Below are 23,734 nucleotides of genomic sequence, written 5' to 3' on the forward strand. Positions count from 1 at the left end.
CAACAGCAAATACTCCAAAAGTTTTATAAGTTTTCTTTCCTGCAATAGAAAATTATTTTCATATTTCAGTTTTGATTAAAAACACAACCTGGCCGGGTGCGGTGGCTCACGCCTGTAATCCCAACACTTTGGGAGGCCGAGAAGGGCAGATCACAAGGTCAGGAGATAGAGACCATCCTGGCGAACACGGTGAAACCCTGTATCTACTAAAAATACAAAAAAAATTAGCCGGGCGTGGTGGCGGGCGCCTGTAGTCCCAGCTATTCGGGAGACTGAGGCAGGAGAGTTGCTTGAACCCAGGAGGCGGAGGTTGCAGTGAGCTGAGATCGCGCCACTGCACTCCAGCCTGGGTGACAGAGCGAGACTCCGTCTCAAAAAAAAAAAGTGATATACTCAAAGGCTATTTTTTTTTTTTATTTTAGGGTTTATGATTTAAATACCATGATTCAAGACAACATGCAGGTTGAAATACTCTTCACACCATTGTGTTTTTATCAGATATAAACTAGCATTTTATTTGAATCAGCTACTACAGTATCTTGAGCCACAAGCATCATTTCTCATCCCTCTTAAGAAAAGTTACTTACACTCACAGGAGCCTAAGAGAACCATTTGTCTTATGGAGGCAGATTCTGTATTCCCTTCTGAACATTTGTGTAGCACTGAGTACAATTGAATTCTCACACCTTTTGAATTAATGTGGTTAGGAGCCAGTTTGTGGAATAGTCAAACAACTTTCCTGGTCGCTTAGATATTTTAAGCATTTCTGAAATGCAAGTAGCATGGGGACATTTATTTGAAATTTCAGCTAATCTTTCTGGAACAACAGTGATAAATGCAGTAGGTAGAGCGATTCTCAGGAAGAGTATCTTTCTAGGGTGCTTTTCATCACACTTCCACATAACAGTACAATTAATAGAATAAAATGATTTAACAATCCAGGTGTCTGGAGGAAACCATTTCCAATACCCTTCCTGATTGCAGAATGAGTCAAAATAGTTAGACAATTCTCTTTAATTTTACTTCAGATATAAATTTCTGTTCAAATATAAGGAAAGTCTCAGGGAAACAAAGCATATGCAAACAGACAAACCTCCCAGTTAATGAAATACCTCCGTGAGGACTGCAATCAATAACAGTATAATCTATGTTCATAAATAAGAGTACAGCCTCAGAAGAGTGTCGGGCAGTGATGAATCATTCAGGAGGCCTGCTTTGCTGCTGTTCAGCTACATCCATGCTTAAAGCTTTTCAGTGACGGAAACACCTGGCTTAGCACCCTCTGATTTCAGCCTCCTCTGAATAGCTAAATCTCTTTTTTCCCTCTTGTTCTAAACACAGTTTAACCATGGAGCCCTTACCTGATGGTAAGCTCCAAAGAGAGCCACTGAACTCCAAGAGGAGTAAGTTAGTTTCTGCAGGTCATACATAGACTCACATGCAGATCTATTTTTTGTGGCAGGGAACTGTTGACCGTAGAATGTACCACTCACAGTGTACAGAAGATAGGGCCTAATAAACACTTTAATTTCCAGGGACTGTCAGGCAGGGTTAATGTGAGCAGGGAGAGGGAAATTAGTAGTTAGTCAGGGAGAATAATAGAAAAGGAGACTATTTCCTCTTACAAATATCTGTAATCTGTGCCTCTTACCATTAGTCTCCCAACTACAGATATTATAATAGTAGCAACGACACAACTCCTCCAAGGAATATAGAGTTTCAGCCTTCTTCCAACTTACTAAAGTGATAACTGTGATATTCTGTGGGCAATAAATAGTGCTTGGGAATTGGAGAAGGCCAAAACTTATTAGCTAGCCTAATCCACAGTCTAAGTGTTTTGTTCAAGTCCGCCTTCCTAAACGACCTTGGAAGTAGAGTTTTTTGCTCTATCTTCTGGGAAGCAATTAAAAAGCCAATGATTTTTAGTGTTGTTAATTTTTCATATTCAGGCTAAATTTTCCTTGGCTTTATTTCTTCCATTTATTAATACTTACTGGCCTAAATAGCCATCCTAAATAATGTGCAGGTACACACAACTAATATTTGTAGATTATAACATTTGACAAGATCAAAAGATATGTCAATATCCTTCTTGAATTGTAGTTCTAGTTCTCCTGATATGTAAGTATTTCAAAATACATGTCAACTTTCAAAAAAATCTGACTCTCTGAAAGTGTATCTCTAGAATTTTAGCTTCAAAATTTCAGTTGATTAAGGTGGACTGGATATTTTCTCTTGGGAATTTTGATATAAAATAGCTTTATTAAAGTTCATCTTTTTTGTTACACACCAAACACCACAAGCAGTGTGGACTTTCACTTGCAGGAGTCCTAACTCACAGAACAACCATCAAAAGCCTTTCCTATCTGATCACCAGAAGAAATTCTTCACTGAAGGTCAGCAGTTTTTGACCTAGCTCCTGGCCTGCAGGTGTCTGTATCAGAAAAGAAAATTGGCCATACTTCAATGCCCTCTTCTAAAACTCCCGAGTGAGTAGAGAAGGAAGATAAGGTGCTTCAGAGTCTTTAACATCTTTTTCCACATCAGAGAAAAAGGAAAACAGATCGAGTACCCCCTAGACATTACTATTTAAGTAATAATGTATTCAGAAAAAAAGATAACTGTTGAATATACAAGTGCCTGCACTGTACTGAACTGAAAAAAAAAATAGCACTTTGGTTTGAAGTATTAAACAGAAAATATATCTTAAGTATGTCATTATATTTAGTGGTGAAATTTAGAAAAGTTAACAAGAAAATATGGTGAAAATCATGTATGTACTTTTGCAGCTCTTTATTTGCGATCCAGTTCTTCCACATTTAGATCATGATGTGAAGTAGCAAAAACAATTAATTAATCACCATATATAGATAGTAACACTTTTAAGTTTGGCTTATAAAATCAGAGAAGTGGTCAACTCCAGGCTTTCACATATTTGGTTACTGTAGAAACTCCGTGTGCATGAATGAGAATCAAAAGGAATCAAATATAAAGAAGCCCACACAGATCTCACCCAGCCCCGAAAAATAAAAATGTGTAAGTAAAGACTCTTGTTCCCAATTAAAATTGCATACATAACTTTCTCACTTAGTGGAGATGAACCAAGCTACTCTCAGGCATAATATGTATTAAAGAAAGTATCTATAAACCTATATGTGAAATAATATAAGGGATCTTGAACAGTTCTTTGAGAAGATAGATCAGGTATTTTAACCTCATTTGTCAAACAAAGTTATTAAAATTGTCAAAAATATATGCTCTAACTTTACTATCTTAAGTTTGGTTCTCTGTCATTACATTCTATTTAAAATTTCAGAGCGCATTTGGTATAATAAGGTCACATAAAAACATTAAACTCTGTAATGTCAAATCATTTTAACATCTCATTTTATCTTGTAGGAAGGCATTCAGACAGTAATTACAATTTCTGGTTTTAGTTAATTCATATGCCAGAGCAGACCATGAGAAAAGTTTGTTTTTAATCCCAGAATTTGCTGCGTCAAGTAACTGAATTTAAACACTGTATAATGTTTGCAGAGATATGCGATCACTTGTAACTTATATTGAGGCTTCCAAAATGTACAGTTCTTTAAAGAATAATCAGTAACTCAAATGGTTAATTCTTTTCTTATACATGATCAGGAAAACTAACTGTCAATAAATGTAATCCAGATTCTTTATTAGTGATCTGAAACCAAGCCATTACAATAGAAAGAAGCATAATGACATCCTATAGGAATTTTAAAGTAAAAGATAATGGGGGTCTCTTAAGTTTATGAAGGGAATACATGGCATGAGTTTCCCTTTATTTTATTGTAAAAATTAATTAGTTAAAAGTTTAAAGGACTTAGTTCTTAAAAAGTTACCAATCCACTCTAACAAAATCATGTGTTTTGACATCTTCTAGTTATTACTAAATGTGTGTGCACCTTCACATAATGCAATCATAATGCATCTTCAAGTTTTCTGTTGTTCTAATTTCATCCATAAACATTTTTATTTTCAGCTTTTCTTCCTTCTTAAAATAACACAAATATATATTTCAGGTAAATATTTGAAAATACATATTATATCTACTATAGGAAAATTCAGAAATTAGCAGAAGTATTAAGAAGAATATACGCCGGGCGCGGTGGCCCATGTCTGTAATACCAGCACTTTGGGAGGCCGAGATGGGTGGATCACGAGTTCAGGAGTTCAAGACCAGCCTGGCCAAGATAATGAAACCCTGTCTCTAATAAAACTACAAAAATTAGCCTGGTGTGGTGGCAGGCACCTATAATCCCAGCTACTTGGGAGGCTGAAGCAGAGAATTGCTTGAACCAGGGAGGCAGAGGTCGCAGTGAGCTGATAGCATGCCACTGCACTCCAGCTTGTGTGACAGAGCCAGACTCCATCTCCAAAAAAAAAAAAAAAAGAAAAAAAAGAAAAAGACTATAACATTTGACTCCAGCCTTGTGATGTGCTGTTGCAAACTCTCCCTACCCTTCCAGGTGCCTGCACTCTGATCAGGTCACCTTTCCATTGTTAGATGGATAGAGCCTGTTTTCATCTCAGGCCTTTGAGCAAATTGCTCTTCACAGCTTTGTTTCAGTGACATCATCCTGATTATGGTTTATTTATTAGCTCCTCAGATCTTCCCTGACCATCTTCACATACAGGAACTTCTGCATCCCTCCTCTTGCCCCTACCCAATCACTTGCTATGTCATTATTCTGTTTGTGTTTCTATAGCACTAGTCCTATGGAAATGATCTTCCACGTTAATTCATTTACCTGTTGACTATATACCTCCATGAAAGCCCCAGCAGGGGAGAGAACTTAGCCATCTTATTGACCATAGCATCCCCAGCATCTGAAACAGGGCCACAAAAAAGTGTAGGTACTTGATAAAGTGTGTTGAAAAACAATATATAAAAGAATAAATTAATTAAAAATTTAAAATCACATCTATTTCTACCATTCAGAAATTAAAACTTAATTTCTTTGATATTATTCACTTCACTTTACTTTTTTATTAGTGAATTGTACTGATGAATAAAAAAAGTTTGAGCTAAATCCTAAATTACAATGTGTTTATACATTAAAAATACATGATTACTTGTACAAAATGAGATCATACTATAATTGTTGTTTATCTGATTTTAAACATTTATCCACATATTAATAAAAAATTCAGCATTCCATTTAATTTTAAACTGAATTTGATGGCTGCAGAATATATCATTATACACTTTACAATAATAATAGTGAATATTTTATGGGTGCATAATGTACTATTCTGCGATTAAAATATTCCAATACTTACCTCATTTATATTCCCACTAACTCTGATATTGCTCCATTTTATAAGTGGTCAAGACTGTCCTGGGCTTACATGGCAGAACTGAGATTGAATCCATAACAAAGAGAACATTTTAATTCTATCTTTTATGTATCTATCTATCTACCCCCTCCAGGAAAAAAAAAAGTTATTCTAATTTATATTGCTAACAGTTCTTTATGAGAATATCTGTTTTTGGAACCTAAGTCAATTTTAAACACATTATCTTTTAAAAAAATGTTTAACAGTTGTATAGGAGTTAATTATCTTATTTTAAAAATACAAGTTTATTTCCTTGTGAATTTGAAAAGGATTTTAAGACGCATGGACATTTGCATTTTTTCATTAGTGTAACAAATCATATTTGAATGACTAGTTTGTTGATGTATGATTACTTCTTAACAGCCTCTCATGCTCTGTAAATTAGAAACTACGTAACTACCCATTTTACAGACTTAGATGTATCTATTACAAGTAATGAGTTAACCACATTCAAAACAACATGATTAATTAGGCTTTCTAAATCTTTTTTTCTCTTGAGTTAAAAAAGTCGTGGTGTGGAGTCAATTTGCCTGAATGGTTAGGATCATGCTTTGCAATGGATTCCTTTGGATTTTCCTATCAGCATGGCCTCTGCTGAACACTCCATATAAAATAAATTTCAGATCCACTATAACTCCCTGGCTTCTTACCCTGTTTTATTCTCCTTTGATACAATTATGAACACTTAGATACAATATATTGTTACTTGTCTTTCTTTTCAATTAGATATGGATAAGTGACATGAAGGAAGTCTTTGCTGTTTTCTCAACCTCTGATATGATGTGTAACCTAGAGCAGGCATCTAATAGATAACTATGAACAAACTGAATTCATAAAATCCTTTTGATCGGAAGCCTGATTTCACTACATGATACAACCTTGAACAAGTCACTTAACCTCTTTGAATATTCAGTTTCAGATTATACAAAATGAGGATATTTGAGAATGGACCTTAACTATGACATTTTAATGAGCTTTTATAAATTACTTGGTTAGTTTCAATTTGGTAACTGTTTCAATTTGGTAACACAACATAATTGATATTTTCTGTCAAATGAAAGTGTCCGGTTATTTTACTATACTCATACATAAGGCTTGATCAGTAAAAATTTTTGAGTTTTTTATTGTTTTGTTGCACCTTTTTTTATTCTGTGTTATATTATTACGGTGGTAGTAAGAGAAATAAAGTTCTTTCCATAGCAAAACGTATAATGTTGGAATAAAATGGCTACCATGAGTGTGTGGCTACCGTGGCTACGGGCATTGTACCTGCGTTTGTCTGGCTAAAAGACCATCACTTGTTTATCCTTTTTTTGACTATCTGGAAATATTTTTTTCATTGGTAAACTAACCGTGGAAAGGGAATTTGCCTGACATTAATAGTCACCTAAGTTTAGAATGAACACTAAAAAGCAAGGGTTCTTTACACAGTGCCATTAATAATTACATAATTTAGATCTGACTTCTTGTTCTACAACGATAACCTTCCTTGTTATATCTTACAATCATATATTTTATAAGAATTCATTATGATTTTTTAAGTCACTGGTTCAACTTAAGTATAAAATATTCATGCTACATTATTTGATTTTTTAAAAGGCTATGTTTGTCTTTAGTGAAATGGTTAAGAGCATGATGAAATGGTTAAGCACATGATGAAGTGGTTAAGAGCAGACAGAATATGGGGTCAGGCTACATAGGCTTTAATCTGCATCTGCTACTTAATAATTGCGTGCCTCTCAGCAAATTACTTAAGTTCTTTGGGGTTCTGTTTCCCCTAATTTAAAATGAGGAGGATAATAATGATATCTATTTCATAGTATGATTGTGCGGACTCAAGACACTAATATAAAAATCCATAAGGATACTATCTGACTTTGATAAGGACTATATCATATAACTCTCTAGTACATAAATTCAAATTACTCTTTTATTGGGAGAAAAGTTTGATGAAGCCACTTTTCATCAAACTTTTCCTTAACCATAGAAAAGCTTTTGATATGGCCTTCTAACTCATTTGCTTTAAGTCAATATCTTTTTCTTTACAGTGTTGACATTCCCTTGTGGCAGGAAAATCAACATTTTGAGTCACTTGCTTTAAATAATGGACTGAGGCCCAGTGTCAGCATCTATCCAGATTGAATTTACTTTCAATAGCCTTTTAAACATGCTGAAGTTCTAAACTCCATTTTATCTAAATATTCTGTTTTTCCTTTTTATTTATGATTCCACCGTGGAACTAATTATTGTCCTGTGATCAAACTTAAAACAGATCAGGTGTCTGGAGTTATACTCATAACCCAATATGTTAGCAATAGCATTAAGACTAATGCATACAGGGATTTAGAGTTACCTGCAATAATCAGAAACCATGTTTCCCTCTATACCCCAGGAACAAGGGAAAAGGAAACAGAACTGTTGCCAGGAGCTTGAGGACACATGCCCACTATTTCATAAAGAAACAAACGATTTGTTTCACAGTGATAGATAACAAAAGCTCAAATTAAAAATGACAAACACAATCCTGGGAGAGAAGAAAACATACTGATAAAGGTAACCACATTGTAGACAACTTCTCCAGAAAATCACTTGTTATCCAAAAGCAAGTGAAAATCCATATTCACATTTATGACAAGTTGTGACAAAACCTTTATTCTTGCACCCTTCTTCTAATGTAAGATATCTGATTTTAAAATGATTTCAATATATAATCCCTCTGCTAAGCCTCAGCACCATATCACCATCTTATATTGCTGCAGTTCAGGAACATTGATTCTGAGGGCTGATACAGAACGTTCATAACCATGGGGAAATAAACAAGGAAGAAGAAATATGGAGAGTGAAATAGTTCTATACTAGGAATACTAACAAGAATATCAGTGACCTTAAAAAGTGGTAAGAAAGGTCAAGCCACGCACAGTGGCTCACACTTGTCATCCCAACATTCTGGAAGGTCAAGGTGCAGAATTGCTTGAGCCCAGGAGTTCAACGCCAGCCTGGGCAACATAGTGAGACCCCATTTCTACAAAATGTTAAAAAAAAAAATTAGCCAGGCATGGTGGGTGCACCTGTGTTCCAAGCTACTCAAGAGGCTGAGATGGGGGGATTACTTGAGTGCAAATAGTTGATGCTGTGGTGAGCTGTGTTCAGGCCACTGCAGTCCAGCCAGCCTGGGCAACAGAGCAAGATCCTGGCTCCAAGTAAAATGTAGTAACAAGAATACATGAGAAAAATACTCAGAAAACACTCCCAATTATCAATTACAATCATTTAATGGTCATTTAAAATGTTATCTCAATCTTTAAACATTTTAAATCCCTAATTTGAAAAAGTTCAACTTTTTCTGAATCTTACAGCCATCTTTTGAATGACGGTATGTCACATTATGAGTAAGTCTGGACTCATATGATTATGAACAACCATTCCAGTAGATGTTTAATAAATGTTTGTCAAACAAGTAGTTATTAGTGTATGCTTTATGTACTCTTCTCACTTACATATTCATGGGACATCACAAATAAAATTGGAAAGTTTGGAAATATTATCCTCACATTGTGACACTGGAAGTCCTCAGCACCACTGGGGAAAATCAGTGTTTGTTTTCCCTGTGAATGGAAACCACAGTTATATTTGTAACACAAATGACTGATGGCACTTGATATGAAAACCAAGAGTGCAAATATGAAGCCAGAACTATATAATTGTTGAAAATCCACCTTTTAGGTAAATCCAAGTTATAACATCCTAAAATCATCTGTTCAAATTTATTTTTATATATTGTACAATGCTCATTATGGTGTTCATATTTATTTTTAATGTTTCATTTAAAAATTAAGAATTTAAACACTGCTCTGTTGCCATCTTCTGCCATACAAAATTCGTTCCAATTTTATTGTAAAAGAAAGCTCTGGCATAGATTTAACCCATAAAATCATTTCTGATTACATGTCTTTTGGCCTCTGTTAGCTAGAATCTTACAGCAGATTCTGAAGTGCTCATTGTTTAATTATTGTTATTGAAATGTTCCACAATAAACTAAAGGGATTTTTTTGTAAGCTAAACAATGTTTTAACTTATTCTGTAGCTATCGAAACTGCTGAGTCAATGTCAACTCATATAGAATCTGAACAACCCTAGGCTATTAAAAAATTCAACAAAGTGTATCTGTATTTTCCTGAAAAATAATTAAGAGCAACATTTTTATTATTTAATTAATAAAGCTTCTACTAACCAAGATCTTAAGAAAGTAAATTAATCTTTTAGCCCTGATTTTACTCTTCTGTATTTTTTGTCTAAATAGTTAATTGCTAAAAGACTCACATGAGTCTCTATTTATTTTTCTGCAGTATCTCACTGACTATTTCAAATTATAATTCTGGCAATACATCCAGCTCCTCAAATCTCTGGAACCAGTTAGGTACGTCTCTATATGGTTGTAGAGCATCCGATTATAATCCTGCTTCTCCTCCTCCTTTTTTTATATTATTTCTTAAATCACAGATACCTGCTTATTTGCAGGTGGTTCTGTCTCATTCTAAGTGATCCATTCTTTGAGAAGAAAAACAGCTTTATATTATTCACAGGTATCAGTGCTATAGCATTATGAAACCATCAGATTACTTTTATTTATGGTCTTTAGCAAAGCTCTATTTGGTATTTGTATTTGAATGTAATGCTTCATTAAGAAAATTTAAAACTTATATGGTCATGTATGCCAATGTCCAAACTTAAAGAAATGGCAGCTCATATAACATAGCTGTAGATAACACCTGTTTGCTTGTGAATGGAGATAATAATTATTTTTCTAACACTGAGAAATACATTTCGCATAAAGTTTCAAAATGTGTTTGTTACAAGTTACTTAAAAATTGAGTAAACTCTATGGTAAAAGGATTATTTCTATATCAGATAAGGAGAATGGCTGCCTCAAAAACATGACCAGAAGTATAAAGTAATACCATTCGATTTGCAATAGCAAAGGAGATTCTATGAAAGACCATCCTATAAGAATTAAACTTTTGCCATATATCATTAGAATGCTATAATATAATAACAATGGGAATTGCATATTTTACTATATTTATCAAAAGTAAGAAGTGAGAACTGGCCAGGCACTATGGCTCAGGCCTGTAATCCCAGCACTTTGGGAGGTCGAGGCCGGCGGAATGCTTGAAGCCAAGACTTCAAGACCAGCCTAGGCAACATGGTGAAACCCTGCCGCTACTAAAAATACAAAAATTAGCTGGGCCTGGTGGTGCACTCCTGTAATCCCATCTACTCGGGAGGCTGAGGCACAAGAATCACTTGAACCCAGGAGGTGGAGGTTGCCGTGAGCCAAGATTGCGCCACTGCACTCCAGCCTCAGTGACAGAGAAAGACTCTGTCTCAAAAACAAAAACAAAAAAGTGAGAACCATGGAGAGAATTAAAAAGTTGCATGAAATCATAACTCAGAGAAAAATATGGTCATCCTATCCCTGGAGCTGTCAAAGGGTGATGTCATAAAGTTTGGCAACTCCTGGCCGAAATGACTTCTATCTCCTAGATGAAACATAGCATACCGAAATCCATTTACCATGAACTGGTGCCATATTCTCATTAAGAGATTTCTGTCATTTTAATTTTATTTTTCCAAGTAAATTTTCCCACAGGGAATAATTTTTCTTATTAATTATATGTACGGTAACCCAAACTATTTAAAAGAAAAAGTTGAAAATAGGGTATCTACAGTAAGTAAAAGCAATCATAAATATATATGAGTCGGGGTAGAATTTCAGGGTAACAGTTGACTTTTCCAGTTCAGGGTGGCATTGGAGGTCTAACCTCATTAACAGCAGATGCTTTTGGAGGACTAGACTGTCACCAATCATTAACCCTCACTCTCTGGGAAGATCACATTCTGTCAATATTGCTGCTAGTTGGTATACTTCTTCCATATGTGTCAGAATTAAAGTTGGAAGCCTTGAAACAAACCATTGAGCTATCTATGATTTCATTAAAACTCTTGAGAACTAGACTCAGGCAAAATTGTGACTGTAGTCATTTATCTCTGGTTATGTTATACCTTTATCTTTATTATGCATTTCTATCAACACCTTTAATGGTGCAGTGCGTATAAACTACAAATTTAAGAAATTATCCCCCAGGATTTGAATTCTGCCTCAGTGACTTATTGGTTCTGTGACCTTGGAGACCTGTTTGAGGCGATTGAACCTGAGTTTCCTCTCCTATAAAGTAGTGATTATAATACTTTCCTACAAAGTGGGAAAATGTAGCAGTAAATGAAATGACCTATGCAAAGTTCCTAACAGCAGAGCACACTGTAAGCCCTCAAAATGAGAGCGGTGTCATTTATTTCCCTAAAGGGCCTTACTGCTAGAGGTATCTGCCTTACATCGCCTGCTCTCAAAGATGTGAAAGTATTCAAAACACTAAGAGAGCACAATATAATAGAGCTGTACAGTCACAATTTAAGACCACCACTTACTAGTTTTATCACATCGGATGAAACTTTTGAAACTTATGCAGCCTAAATCCATGAATGTATGTTAATCTCTGACCAAAAGAGATATGCTCAGTAAACATCAGCTTCTCTTCCAATTGTGGTCATGGTACTATTTCAGGCACCCTTACTGTCCTTCAAATCTCAAGTAAATGTTAACTATATCTAGCATGATTGTTCTCACGGCATCCCCTGGGAGAAAGTAGAACGTTGGAAGGCACACTTTTCTGCTTAGCCAAGGCAGAGCCCTGGCATCATTCTAAACATACCTCTCCAGGTAGCACATACTAGTAAGAGTTTCAGAAAACTTGTAATGTCTATGCCCTTTCTATAGAAAGATAAGCAAACTTAAATGACTTCAGTGTACAGGCAGTTAAAGTATATAATTATAACTAAATGGGGAGTAAGATGAAGAATGGTAACAGAGAGTTGGCTTCAAATAATGAGATGACAGCTGCTGTTGGGACTATTCAAATTTGAGGGAACCTGAGAATTGAAGTGATAACAGGGGCTCAACTTCAAAGGGCTTTTGTGGCCATTCAAGAATGGATGGTTTTGGCCGGGCAAGGTGGCTCATGCCTGTAATCCTAGCACTATGGGAGACCGAGGTGGGAGGATCACCTGAGGTCCGGAGTTCGACACCAGCCTGACCAAAAAGGGGAAACCCCATCTCTACTAAAAATACAAAAATTAGCTGGGTGTGGTGGCACAAGCCTGTAATCCCAGCTACTCGAGGGGCTGAGGCAGGAGAATTGCTTGAGCCCGGGAGGTGTAGGGTGCGGTGAGGCGAGATCACGCCACTGCAGTCCAGCCTGGGAGACAGAGCGAGACTCCATCTCAAAAAAAAAAAAAAAAAAAGGATGGTATTGGCAGTTTATCCAAACATTCAAGAGAAGTTAACATTTTTTAAAGTCTTAAATATTGCAGGACTAACTAAAATAATGCAGAAAACATAACTTTGCAACCCCAAACAGCTAAAGTCTAAAAATCAGGGAGTCACTCAACTCTCTGGAACTCTGTTTCTTACAGCTCCAGAAACTCAAAATACCAATTAAAAAAATTTTTCTTTAAGCATAAATCAAAGGAAGGGAAATTTAGACAATCTTCATTACCTTATAGAAGTAAACAACAACAAAAATAAAGCAAGAGGAGGGAGGATTGAAGGTTATCCACATTAAGATAATTTTCCCTGTAGTAATCTTGAATAAATAGAATTTGACATTTGTTACATAAAATAACTGGAAGTTGAAGAAGAGAGTGGGGAAATCTACCACCTAAGAGGTACAGGTATTGAATCCACCTTCCTGTGAGAAGTATTAAATCAGAAAATGTAGGGGTGAATAACTTAGTCCCTTGAAAGATATATCCTTTAAGATCAACAAATTATATATATATTTTCCAACTACAACCCTGATTCACAATATAGAGACTTTGGCTCATCTGTCAGTACTTAGCTCCATTTTCCTCTCTGTGGCCTCACTGCAGGAGTTTCACAAGATGGAAAATTCACTTAGGCTACCTGCTCTAGATAAAAGTCTGGAATGGTGAACTCAAATCCCAAGAGCCTCTGGTATACACTTCAGTTCGACAGAGAAAAATTTTAACTACACTTGAAAGAAAATGACCCTGGAAAATAGGTTAGCAAGGCAGCAGAAAGTGTGTGCCTTGATATGTTTTGAATTTCGAATTCTAAGTATTCTTTACTGGCAGAAAATGCTGTTTTATGCCTCCAGCTAAAAGACAAAAATAAAACAGAATCCCACCACCCTCTTATCAAACCATAAACCTCCCTCAAGAGACTTGATCTATAGAGTTGCATGCATGAATTATTTGTGTTTTAAAAAGAGCATTTTGCACAAAATCAAAAGCTAACTCTTTTCAACAACTTAGGGACAGGTTTTGCTTCTCAAATGAAAGTATCCATGAAGAGGGGTCAAAAAACATACCAATTCATATGATATTAAAGTTTATAATTAATCTATTCATAGTATTATTTTATTTTCTAGATGTAATAAAAATTTTAAAGCATCTTTATTTTTTCATAGACAGTATGGTTGGCATAAAACATTGATTGAATTAACAAGATTATTTGTGGGGAAATTAAAAATCCCTCTTAAGTACCCCTACATTCCACATATACATAAAATATGTCCTTAGTATTTTGGTTTAAAATATTAATTTTGAAATATATTACTTATAGCAGATAGGCAGACTATAGATAGATAGATAGATGATAGATAGCTAGATAGACAGATGATAGATAGATAGATAGATAGATACATACATACATACATACATACATACATACAGACGAAGGGAGGGAAGAAAAATTTATCGCTTATTAAAATGCTCCTGTTTACAGAAAGCTCAGTTAAGAAGTCTGTGCTGCTCTTATTATAGATTATAAACAGTGTTGATTATAAACACTGTTTATAGCAAATTTATCTGTTCATTGAACTGAGAGCTAAAGCTGCATTCGTCAGGTGAGCACGAGTGACGTGAGATAAGATTATGTGTGGGAGCTCCTATAGCAATACAAGGCTGATGCATGCATCCAGGTTTCTTATTTTCTTCTTAAACTAGCTTTCAATTTACTTACTTTGTTTTAATGTCAAATTGATGTTTAATGAGTCATTGTAAATTTATAAAGAACCAAAGCCTCTTTTGTGTCAGGAAAAAGACTTATTCACTGACTTTGATCTAAACAATGCTAAATGTTCTTTCATAAAGTGTCATTTCTTTATCAGATTGAAAGGTTGCAGATAAATTTTGCATTATATATCTAGATATGGATAGAAGCAAACTTTCTTTGTTAAATTAAATTCAATAGGTCTTTAAATCTCACCATTTTGGGAGGCTGAGGCTGGAGGACTGCTTGAGCCCAGAGTTTGAGATGGGGCCATATTTTGAGACCTCATCTCTACCAAAAAAAAAAAAAAAAAAAAAAATTAGCCCAGAGTGACGGTACAAGCCTATAGTCCCAGCTACTTGGGAGGCTGAGATGGGAGGATTGCTTGAGCCCAGAAGGTGGAGCATGCAGTGAATCCTAATCATGCCACCACACTCCAGCCTGGGTGACAGAAAGAGATCCTGTCTCTAAAAAATGAAATAAAAAATGTTTTTAAGGATCCTCTCCAAGCTCTGGACAATATGTGTTTATTCCTGAGAGACTTATGATAATCTTCAGAGAAAGAAGCTTTCCAGTGACTAAAAGTAGTTACTGTCGTAGGAAAGTAATTTTTGTAATCCCAGAAATAAAGGAAACTTACTTCGTTTCTACCCATCACAATCTAAAAATAATAACAAATAAAGCATCTTATGTGAAAGTAATTATAAACTTCTTCCTCAACCAATATTCTCACACATAAACCACCTTAACTACCTACAGAAACACTACAAGCAGGGCCTGGAACAAACAGGGGCTATACAATGGAAAAAGTTCAAATAGACAGCAGGTCTATACCCATGAATACATATGGGGATGTTTGTGTTGGGTGAGATTTGGCTTCTTATTTCCTCACCTATTTCCACCTCACACTTGCTTACTGTACTACCCATACATTAGTCCTTCCCATTCAGGATTTGGGGAGTATCTTAGATGAATGAAAAAGGCTTCATAAATACATTTTCCCTTAGGATGAGAAAGAGAAATGAAAACTATATCATTGTTCAAATTGGTTACAGATAGAATATAGTTATTTCTGTAACTGTCTAAACTCACCTAAAACTCATACCTCCAATTCTATCTCCCTTAACTAGTTCTAAAGAGAATTATGATCTACTTACCTCTATAAAATGCAGCATTCTTTAGATTTTAGAGATGCACCAAAATTCAGACATAGAGAATGTGTCTAATATTCAAATAACAGATCCAGACTGTTCTAACAACACAATCCAAGTAAACCATTAAAAAAAAAAAACTGGTCTGTTCATTCACAGCAAGAAGATGTTTCCAGCTGATGTGTTTGATTGAGCTAGCTGATAAGTTTTATTACTCTCATGTAGACAATGAAACAAATGCCTAATGGGGAAAATTGCATTGAGTCTAACTTGGAAGCAAAGTTGGCCTCTGGCTAGCGAATGTGTCCAACTGGGAAAACTAGTTTCAATCCTTTATAAGGCCTAAAATGTAAAGCAAGAAAGAAAGACAGAAGATGGATATTTCATTAAGATAGATGAACTCAAAAAGAGCGGTGATGCAGAGAAAGTTAATAAGGGAAGTAGAGAATAAGTGGTGTTCCAATTATTACCAGCATAAAGCAAATTGCTCAGGGGCCCATAAATCTTTTCAGGTTCAATCCCCCATGCTTAACCAGATGATCTGCCTGGGTCTGTGCACAAGCATTTTACCCCACTCTCTTCATTTATCTCCTCTTGAACTGAAAGATACTTTCCATTCAGTGTTAAGGTTTCTGGCTAAAATCATTCTACTATAAAAACACTTATTAAAGCACCCTTTGAATGGTTTTCAAAAATAAAAATAAACAAAAAAAAAACAAAGAATCTCTATTAGGACAAAGAAACATATTTAGAAATGCTTCAGCTAAAGTCCTACAGAGCTTCACTTTTCCTGTAGTACTAATATTTTTAGACAAAGTGAAAATGAATATATATTATCTATAATAGAACATCAAGTAAGAATACATTATTTCCCCCCTCTTTATGTAATTGTACCCATCCCAATACCCATCTGGCTCTTTCATGGGACATTTTTTGTCACAGACATAGGCATTCTCTTTTTTTAAGTCATGTGAGGATACTTTTATCAACCCTCCCTCTAAAAATCTATCCTACTTTCATTTATCTAATATAATAAAGGTAGTATGCCTGTGATCTTATTACAAAATAATTAAGAATATATGCTATAGGGATTTGCTGTTGGGTAAGAAAGACAGTACAACAGTTGAGTTGCCTTCGTTACTAAATGTGTGATCTCTCTTAGTCATAATTTCTTCTTTTCAAACAATGGAAGCAATAAGCATTGCTACCTTGTCTGTTATGAAAATTAAAGTATCTATTGTGAATAAGGAACACTGGGTCCAGCCCATGGCAAGTATTCAATAAAGTACCTTAATTATTTCTATGACTACTTAGAAATAATACAAGATTTCTAATATTGATCTACCACTTTCAGGATTTGGATTCACTTTATTAAAAATTAAATTGAAAACACCTATCATTTCTTGTTATTAAATAATTCACATTTTTTCTCTTTAAATGAAACCCCCCTGCCACCTGTCATTTCTCCAAGCTTCCATATCTTCTCCTCCCTTTCAGAATCAATTTTCTTGAAAAAACTCTTTGTTCCTTCTCCATTTCTTTCACTCCAATTTTCTGTTCAATTGGCTGTATGCCAGGTGGATTTTGCCACTTTGTTGAAATTTATCTCCCAAGAGGCTCTTTACCAAATCGAGTTAATTTATCAGCCTTTACTTTACTTTTATCTTGACAGCTTTTGACACTTTGACCCTCTTTCCTTTGTTGATCTCTTTGATAACACTGTCTTTCCATTTCACTCCTCACCCCATTCCTCTGCCCATCTCTGAAGATACAACCTTACAATCTTACTTCTGTGCATAATGCTTGAATATTGGTGTTGATTCCCCTATGTTGTTGTCTCTCTCCATTGTCCTCTCATAACCTCTTGCAGGCAAGCGTTCAAATACTATTTGTTACCAGTTACCACTGATGGTCCTGAAATCTCTGTTTTCAGACAGTAAAACATACTACTTTGCTAACACTGGACCTTTCAACTTGGATATATGCCAGTTGCTTCAATCTCAGCATGTCCAAAATTGAGCCCAGTGCATATAATAATTGCTCAATAAACATTTGAAGGCTGATGACTACACAATTTTTTTCAAAATGTCCAAATTGAACCCATGATTTCTAACCTCCACTCCTAAGATCAATCTTCTGTGTATGTTGCCCTGCTCAATAAGGGAAAGCAATACCTGCCCAACTGCCCAAGCCTGGCATGGAAAACATCTTTGAAACATCCATCTCACTGTACAATATACAAACAGGCACTAAATGCTATTGACTTTAAGTATCTCCCAAGGTTGTCCTTTTCTTCTCTACCTCACTTACTGCAGATGATATTATGTCTTGAATTCTTACTGCTCCCATCTCCTACCTTACCTATCTGTATACCAAGAGAGATCTTGCTGAGATCACTAAGATGGGGAAAAAGATACTATGAAAGTTAAAGGTCAAACTAAAATATGTTAGAATTCCATTTTCACCCTGCAGTTGTACAATGTTTGGCAAATCATTTACTTCTTTATGTCTCAAGTCTTTCAACTGTAAAATAAGGGTCAATAATATATTGGAAAGAATAAATGAGATATTTAGCACACAATAACTATTTATCTAACATCCAAAAACTATTTCTTACTATTGTGATTTCTGCATTTGATTATGTCAACTGTTTACAATAATAATGTTGGTGTGTTCCCACTGCAACTTAGAAAAATGTCTACATTTTCTTAGTTTATAATTTGCCTCTTCATAACTTGAGCCTTGAATACTGTGTTCATTTTTGTCTGTGTATGTAGTAGCAGCCACATCCAATGTTTTAAACTCCTCTTAAGTGCCACTCTTATTCACCCCAGGTCTCTGCGTATGCTGTTGCATTTTCCTGAATCACCTTTCCCCTTTTCTTTGTCATTTAAGTTCTACTGGATTTAGAACTTTTAGATCTCATCTTAAACATGTTAATGCTAGGAAACATTTGCTGTATGAGGATTTTGTGCCAAACATTGAGTAAAGATTTACACAAATAATTTCATTTTTAAATTCCTCAAAACCACCTCATCCAGGAGAAAGACTTTCCTGAGCTCAAACAGAATGACAAATCAGTATCCTGGCTATAAAAACTCTTGATACCCTATACTTACCAAAAATAAAACAATGCAAAGGCTTACTTAATTTTCCTTCCAGTTCTACTGTAAAGTCCATGAGGACAAAAATGTTAAATATAAACTTGTGCATTTATGCTTATATCCCCCAATTAAACACAGTTGTGGAACATAATAATTGCTCAATAAACATTTGAAGAGTGTGGCTACATAGTTGATTATTACTATGTCCTAGGCACTGTGTTGGGTTGGCATTTTTTTTAGCCACTCGGAATTAGTAAAATTTCTGTTTTACAGAGGTGGAAACTGAGGTTTAGAGAGGTCACCTAGTTATTGTTCAATGCCCATAGTAGTTGTCAGAGCCAGTGTTCACTTTCAGAATTGTCAGACCCAAAGTTCCATGTAGAAATTTTATTCTTTTTAATTTAAACATCTGCACAACTAATCTTTGTGATGGGATCATTCAGACTTAAATAGTTAAAGGTGCTTGTCATAGAGTCAGTGGCTGTGATTGATCCATAGCAATGTATTCACAGACCATCAGCCAATACATATTCCGTACACAACTGCTCAATGACTATGAAGTGCATTGCTAGAGTAACTAGCTTATAGGTCAAATCAAGACTACAGGGACTATATCCTAACAAACCAGGTTAAGCACAAACAGATTTCTAGTGTTAACCACTTTTTATTTAATTTATAATAATTACTGGCATTAAATCTAGTTTTTATGCCTGTCATACTCTATTAGAATTGAAGCTAGCAATAAGAGAAGTTTTCATAAGGTCATCATTTATGAAGTAAATATTGTACAGATTATCTGTAAATAAGGGTTGTTATTTTGGAGAGAAATTATTTAAAAAATCACCTAGGCTACACCATTTTTCTGTTCAATTTCTTGGGTGTGTTATCATTACTTCTCTTGGGAATTTCATATTTAAAACTATTTCAAAGTCAAGGTTAAGGGTAAGGGAAAAGAGAAGTAGAACAGAAAGGCAAATATTGATTGCAATATAGACTCAAAACTATAGTTGGCTAAGAAATGTATGATCTGTATTTCAGGTACCCAAGGTAACTCCAACCTAAAGTTTATACACTTTTGCATATATAGTCAATTCTTCATCTAGATTAGAACTTTTAAATCACCAAATGACCAGTAGAAAATATCTCTTAGAATTTTTTCTACAAAATTTGATTGCCTTGGAAGGTAGATGAAAGAGCTAATGACTATTTTATTTAAGTGTGATATACTGAGATGCTTTTCAACTATCTGTAATATATCCTAGAAGATCAGTTTTATCTCCTTAATTATGTATATTTTCTGCTTTATTGTATGTAATGGAAAATGAAAGAATAGACTGGCTGCAGAGCTTGAAGCCTGCAAGTTTTAACTCACAAATGCAATCTGTAGGCTATGTCGCTAGCGCCAATTTTGAGGATTTTTTTTTTTACAGTTACACCATTTTATAAGTATTATGAGTCAAAGCTTTTATTATCTCCAAATCTGCCAGTGAAGCTCACTGTTGGGCTCCTGTATGGCTCACTGAAAGACATGGTTCTGCTGTTATTATAGGATGCCTCCCACTCCAGGAGTCACTTGTATTAAATCAAACCATCACATTATTTATATCTTCAAGTTCCCTAATTCACTTTTTGTTATTGATTTTTGGATTTTGCTTTTGACCTGTAAGACTCTGCATGGCCTATGTCCATTTAAAATAACTATTCAAAATTCCCTGGTTGGTCTTCACGAGCGGAGCCAACTTTGTGAGCTGCTCCTAAGTCTTGTGTCATTGTGATTACCCTCTAGGCTTTTCTATCTATTGCTCCTTCTACCTTCAGAATTAATAGATTGGGAAGATTAGGTCAATTGGCATTTCTGAGGCAAGTCTGAATTAATTTTCTTTGGCTTGTCTTGTTGAATTTCACACTCCCTGAACATTTCTCACTGATAAGCAGATTATGATGCTGGCTCATGTTCAGGGATAGCAATCCAAATGTATTTACAGAGTTGTATTGTTACCTTTTAGCACCATCAACTGCAATAAGCATTATCGTTTATAAAGTTAAAGCTCTTCATTTTAAATCTGTGTCAAGAGGCTAATATAACTGTGATTTTAATTACTAAAAATCAATTTCAAATTAATGTGAAATTTAACAGTGGGAGATGTGTCGGAACCCAGAGACAATCAGCTTGGCCTTTACCTTAGGTGCGGTCCTCTATAAAAGGCATTAACATAATGCTGGTTTTCTAGATCAGTGGTTTTCAAACTAGTGTCTATGAAAAGCTTAAGTCAAAAGAGGAGTTCCTGGGGATTTATTATTGAAATTTAAGTCATGGTAAATCAAACTTGCATATAGTGCAAATAATTTTTTTTCAACTTTCTACTTAAAGCAGCTGCATAGGGAGAATAATCATAAGAAGCTATCGGTCTTAGTTTTTAGGAAATCATTGGTGTCATTAAGCAGAGCGATTTCATAAGCCGTAGAGGAAATTCATATCACAGGAGGTTCAGGAGAGAGAGGAGAGAGGAATGGGTAGAAAAATCACACAGACCGTTTTCAAAATATGTTTGTGAAATGAATATCAAGACAACTAGAAAGCAGGGAAGGTTAAATTATTTTCTAACTTGCTAATATGGTATGACATAATAATGCTTTGTAGGTACAGTGTAATGGAGGTGATACAAAGTTCTGTGCACATATCCTAAACAGGGAAAGAATTTCAGTGGATGCCAGCTCTATAAGTGGATATGAAATCAAAGCAAAGTAAGTGAATCTTGGAAAGAAGGAGGGACAGTGTAATAGAGCTGTTTATTTAAAAATTACCAAATGGACACAAAAGTGACTAAAAATTAGGCCATAAAAAAAAACACCACTACAAAATAAGTTGTTTCTACAACCATTCTTCTCAAGATACAAGCAATACCTATCTTCCAATGGTTTATTCTCTGTCTTCTAACACCCTCGTGCCTCCTCAGCAACATTTAAACAGCAAATCACCTTCTTTTCAGGAACATTTTCTTCACTTAATTTCTAGGACACTACAGTCCCCAGTCTGGCCTTCACCTGATTGACCAGTCCTTTGTGTCCTGTGGTGGTTCCTCTCCTCCTGCCTCTGAATGTGGGCATGGCTCAAGGCTCTGCCCCTGGATCTCTTCTTTCACTTGTTACCAACATCAGTTTCAAGTTTCAGGGCATTTAAACAACACAGTGATGGGTCTCAAATATGTATATCCTGCTATATCCTCCTTCTCAGGACTCATAAGTTAAACTACCTCCATAATATTTCTATTTAGATGCCTAGTAGACATTTTAATCATCCTGCCTAAAACAGGACTCTCAGTTTTTCACCTGAATATGTTCCAGACCTAAATTTCCCAATTTCCCCTGTCATTAAAGTGAAAAAACATGGAGTTGAGAGGTTAGACACAAATCTTCTCTTTCCTTCACACCCCAACATCTAATCTGTCTACAGGCCATATGGGCTGTAACACATATGCAGTACATATCCAAAATCTCACCATTCTTTACCACCTTTTTTCGCTATATCTTAGTCCAAACTATCATTATATGTATTATTATTTCACTCTTTCCTCACTAAAGTCAGTTCTACACATAGTAATCGAAATGTTCTCTAAAAATAAAAAAAAATGAAAATCATAGGTCAGATTAAGGTATCCCTCTGCTGAAAACTGTAAGTCACTTTTCTTCCCACTTAGGATGCAATATAAATCTTTACTGATTAAATCAACTGATCTCTGTTGAAAAATTTACACTGACAGTAAATTGTTACCACCCAGACTTAAGAAGCCATTGGGTGAAAGAAGTAGAATAGCGTTTACTAATTCTTCCTGGAAAAATTAGGAGATGGATAAAATTTATTCTGGGGTACCCTCTTCCTTTACATGCCACTCTGCCTGTCCCCAGGTGTTCTCATTATGCCATAAATTCTTCACTACTATTCCTAATTTCCATGGAATGTTGGAAGGATCAATGTAGGAAGGATCTAAATTCTAAAATTACTATCTTTTCAATCTCCTGAAAAAGGAAAATGAACAAGAATGGCCCTATTACCTTAGTGCAATTTTCTTAGCTAGGTGTTGGAAGGAATAATTGTAATTAATTAATCTATAGATTGTAAGGATTTCTATGACTGTTACTACTACTATAGACATTATCAATGATAATAAAATAATCATAATAATTACTACTATTTTATGCCTGGCACTTTAAGTACTTCTGAACTTCACTACCAAACACTGCAAAAACTAAGGATCAGAGAGCCTAAAGTTTTGCCCCCAAACTAGAAAGTAAGCAACTGTCAGGAATCAAATCTATTTCTACCACGTCCAACCATGGACTCCTAACTATTAAGAAAAAAAACACAAAACTAAGCATGTGAAGTGGAATTTGGGGTAGTGTAGGTAAATATATTTTTGAAAAAGTCTGCTATGAATTGGCTCCCTTTCAAGTTCCTGCATTCACAAGTCTGCTTCCTGTCTTTTCTTTTGAATCTATAACTTCAAACTATGACTCCAAATTTATCTGTAACTCCAAATATCTCAGCTGCTATTTTTATTATGTTTCTCTTGGGTCTTTGAGATATGGTTAAAGCAGAGTACTCAGAAAAGTGTGAATAAAGACAATCAGTTTAATTACAACACTTTTGTATATTATACATTTTATTTTTTAAAAAATCAAAACCAAAAAACCAAATAAGATATGATGAATGTTGTTTAAGGTAAAGGACCAATGGTGTTTAAGCAATGTTGATATTTTTTACTTTTATAATGAAAGATCACTGTTATATTTTAAAATAATAATTTAAGAAAATTTGGAAAAACACTTTCAATGATTAGAAAATAAGATTTAACCTGTTTACGACTGAGGTTGCAATGTTTTGAATTTTTGCATGAAATTTACATGTGTTACCTAGAAAAATTCAAGGAACAAGAATTTAAAAAGAAAAAAAATATTATGTCCCTTTGGTGAGTTACGTGGCATTC

General features: G+C 35.0%; 1 protein-coding gene across 7 annotated transcripts in view; it reads right to left on the reverse strand.

Annotated features, from left to right (window-relative positions):
* PCDH9 (protocadherin 9) overlaps positions 1-23,734 on the reverse strand; it is a 927,503-nt gene that overhangs the window by 857,340 nt on the left and 46,429 nt on the right. Inside the window, exon 3 of one of the 7 annotated variants that reach the window (XM_011535099.2) lies at positions 417-8,969. The exons of the other annotated variants lie outside the window; for them this stretch is intronic. Coding sequence (XP_011533401.1) covers positions 8,841-8,969 — 129 coding nt within the window. The 3' untranslated portion in view covers positions 417-8,840. Of the gene's footprint in view, positions 1-416; positions 8,970-23,734 lie in introns of those variants that run through there. 7 annotated transcript variants of the gene reach the window in all.

This window comes from Homo sapiens, chromosome 13 (genome assembly GCF_000001405.40).
Source record: "Homo sapiens chromosome 13, GRCh38.p14 Primary Assembly".
NCBI lineage: Eukaryota > Metazoa > Chordata > Mammalia > Primates > Hominidae > Homo > Homo sapiens.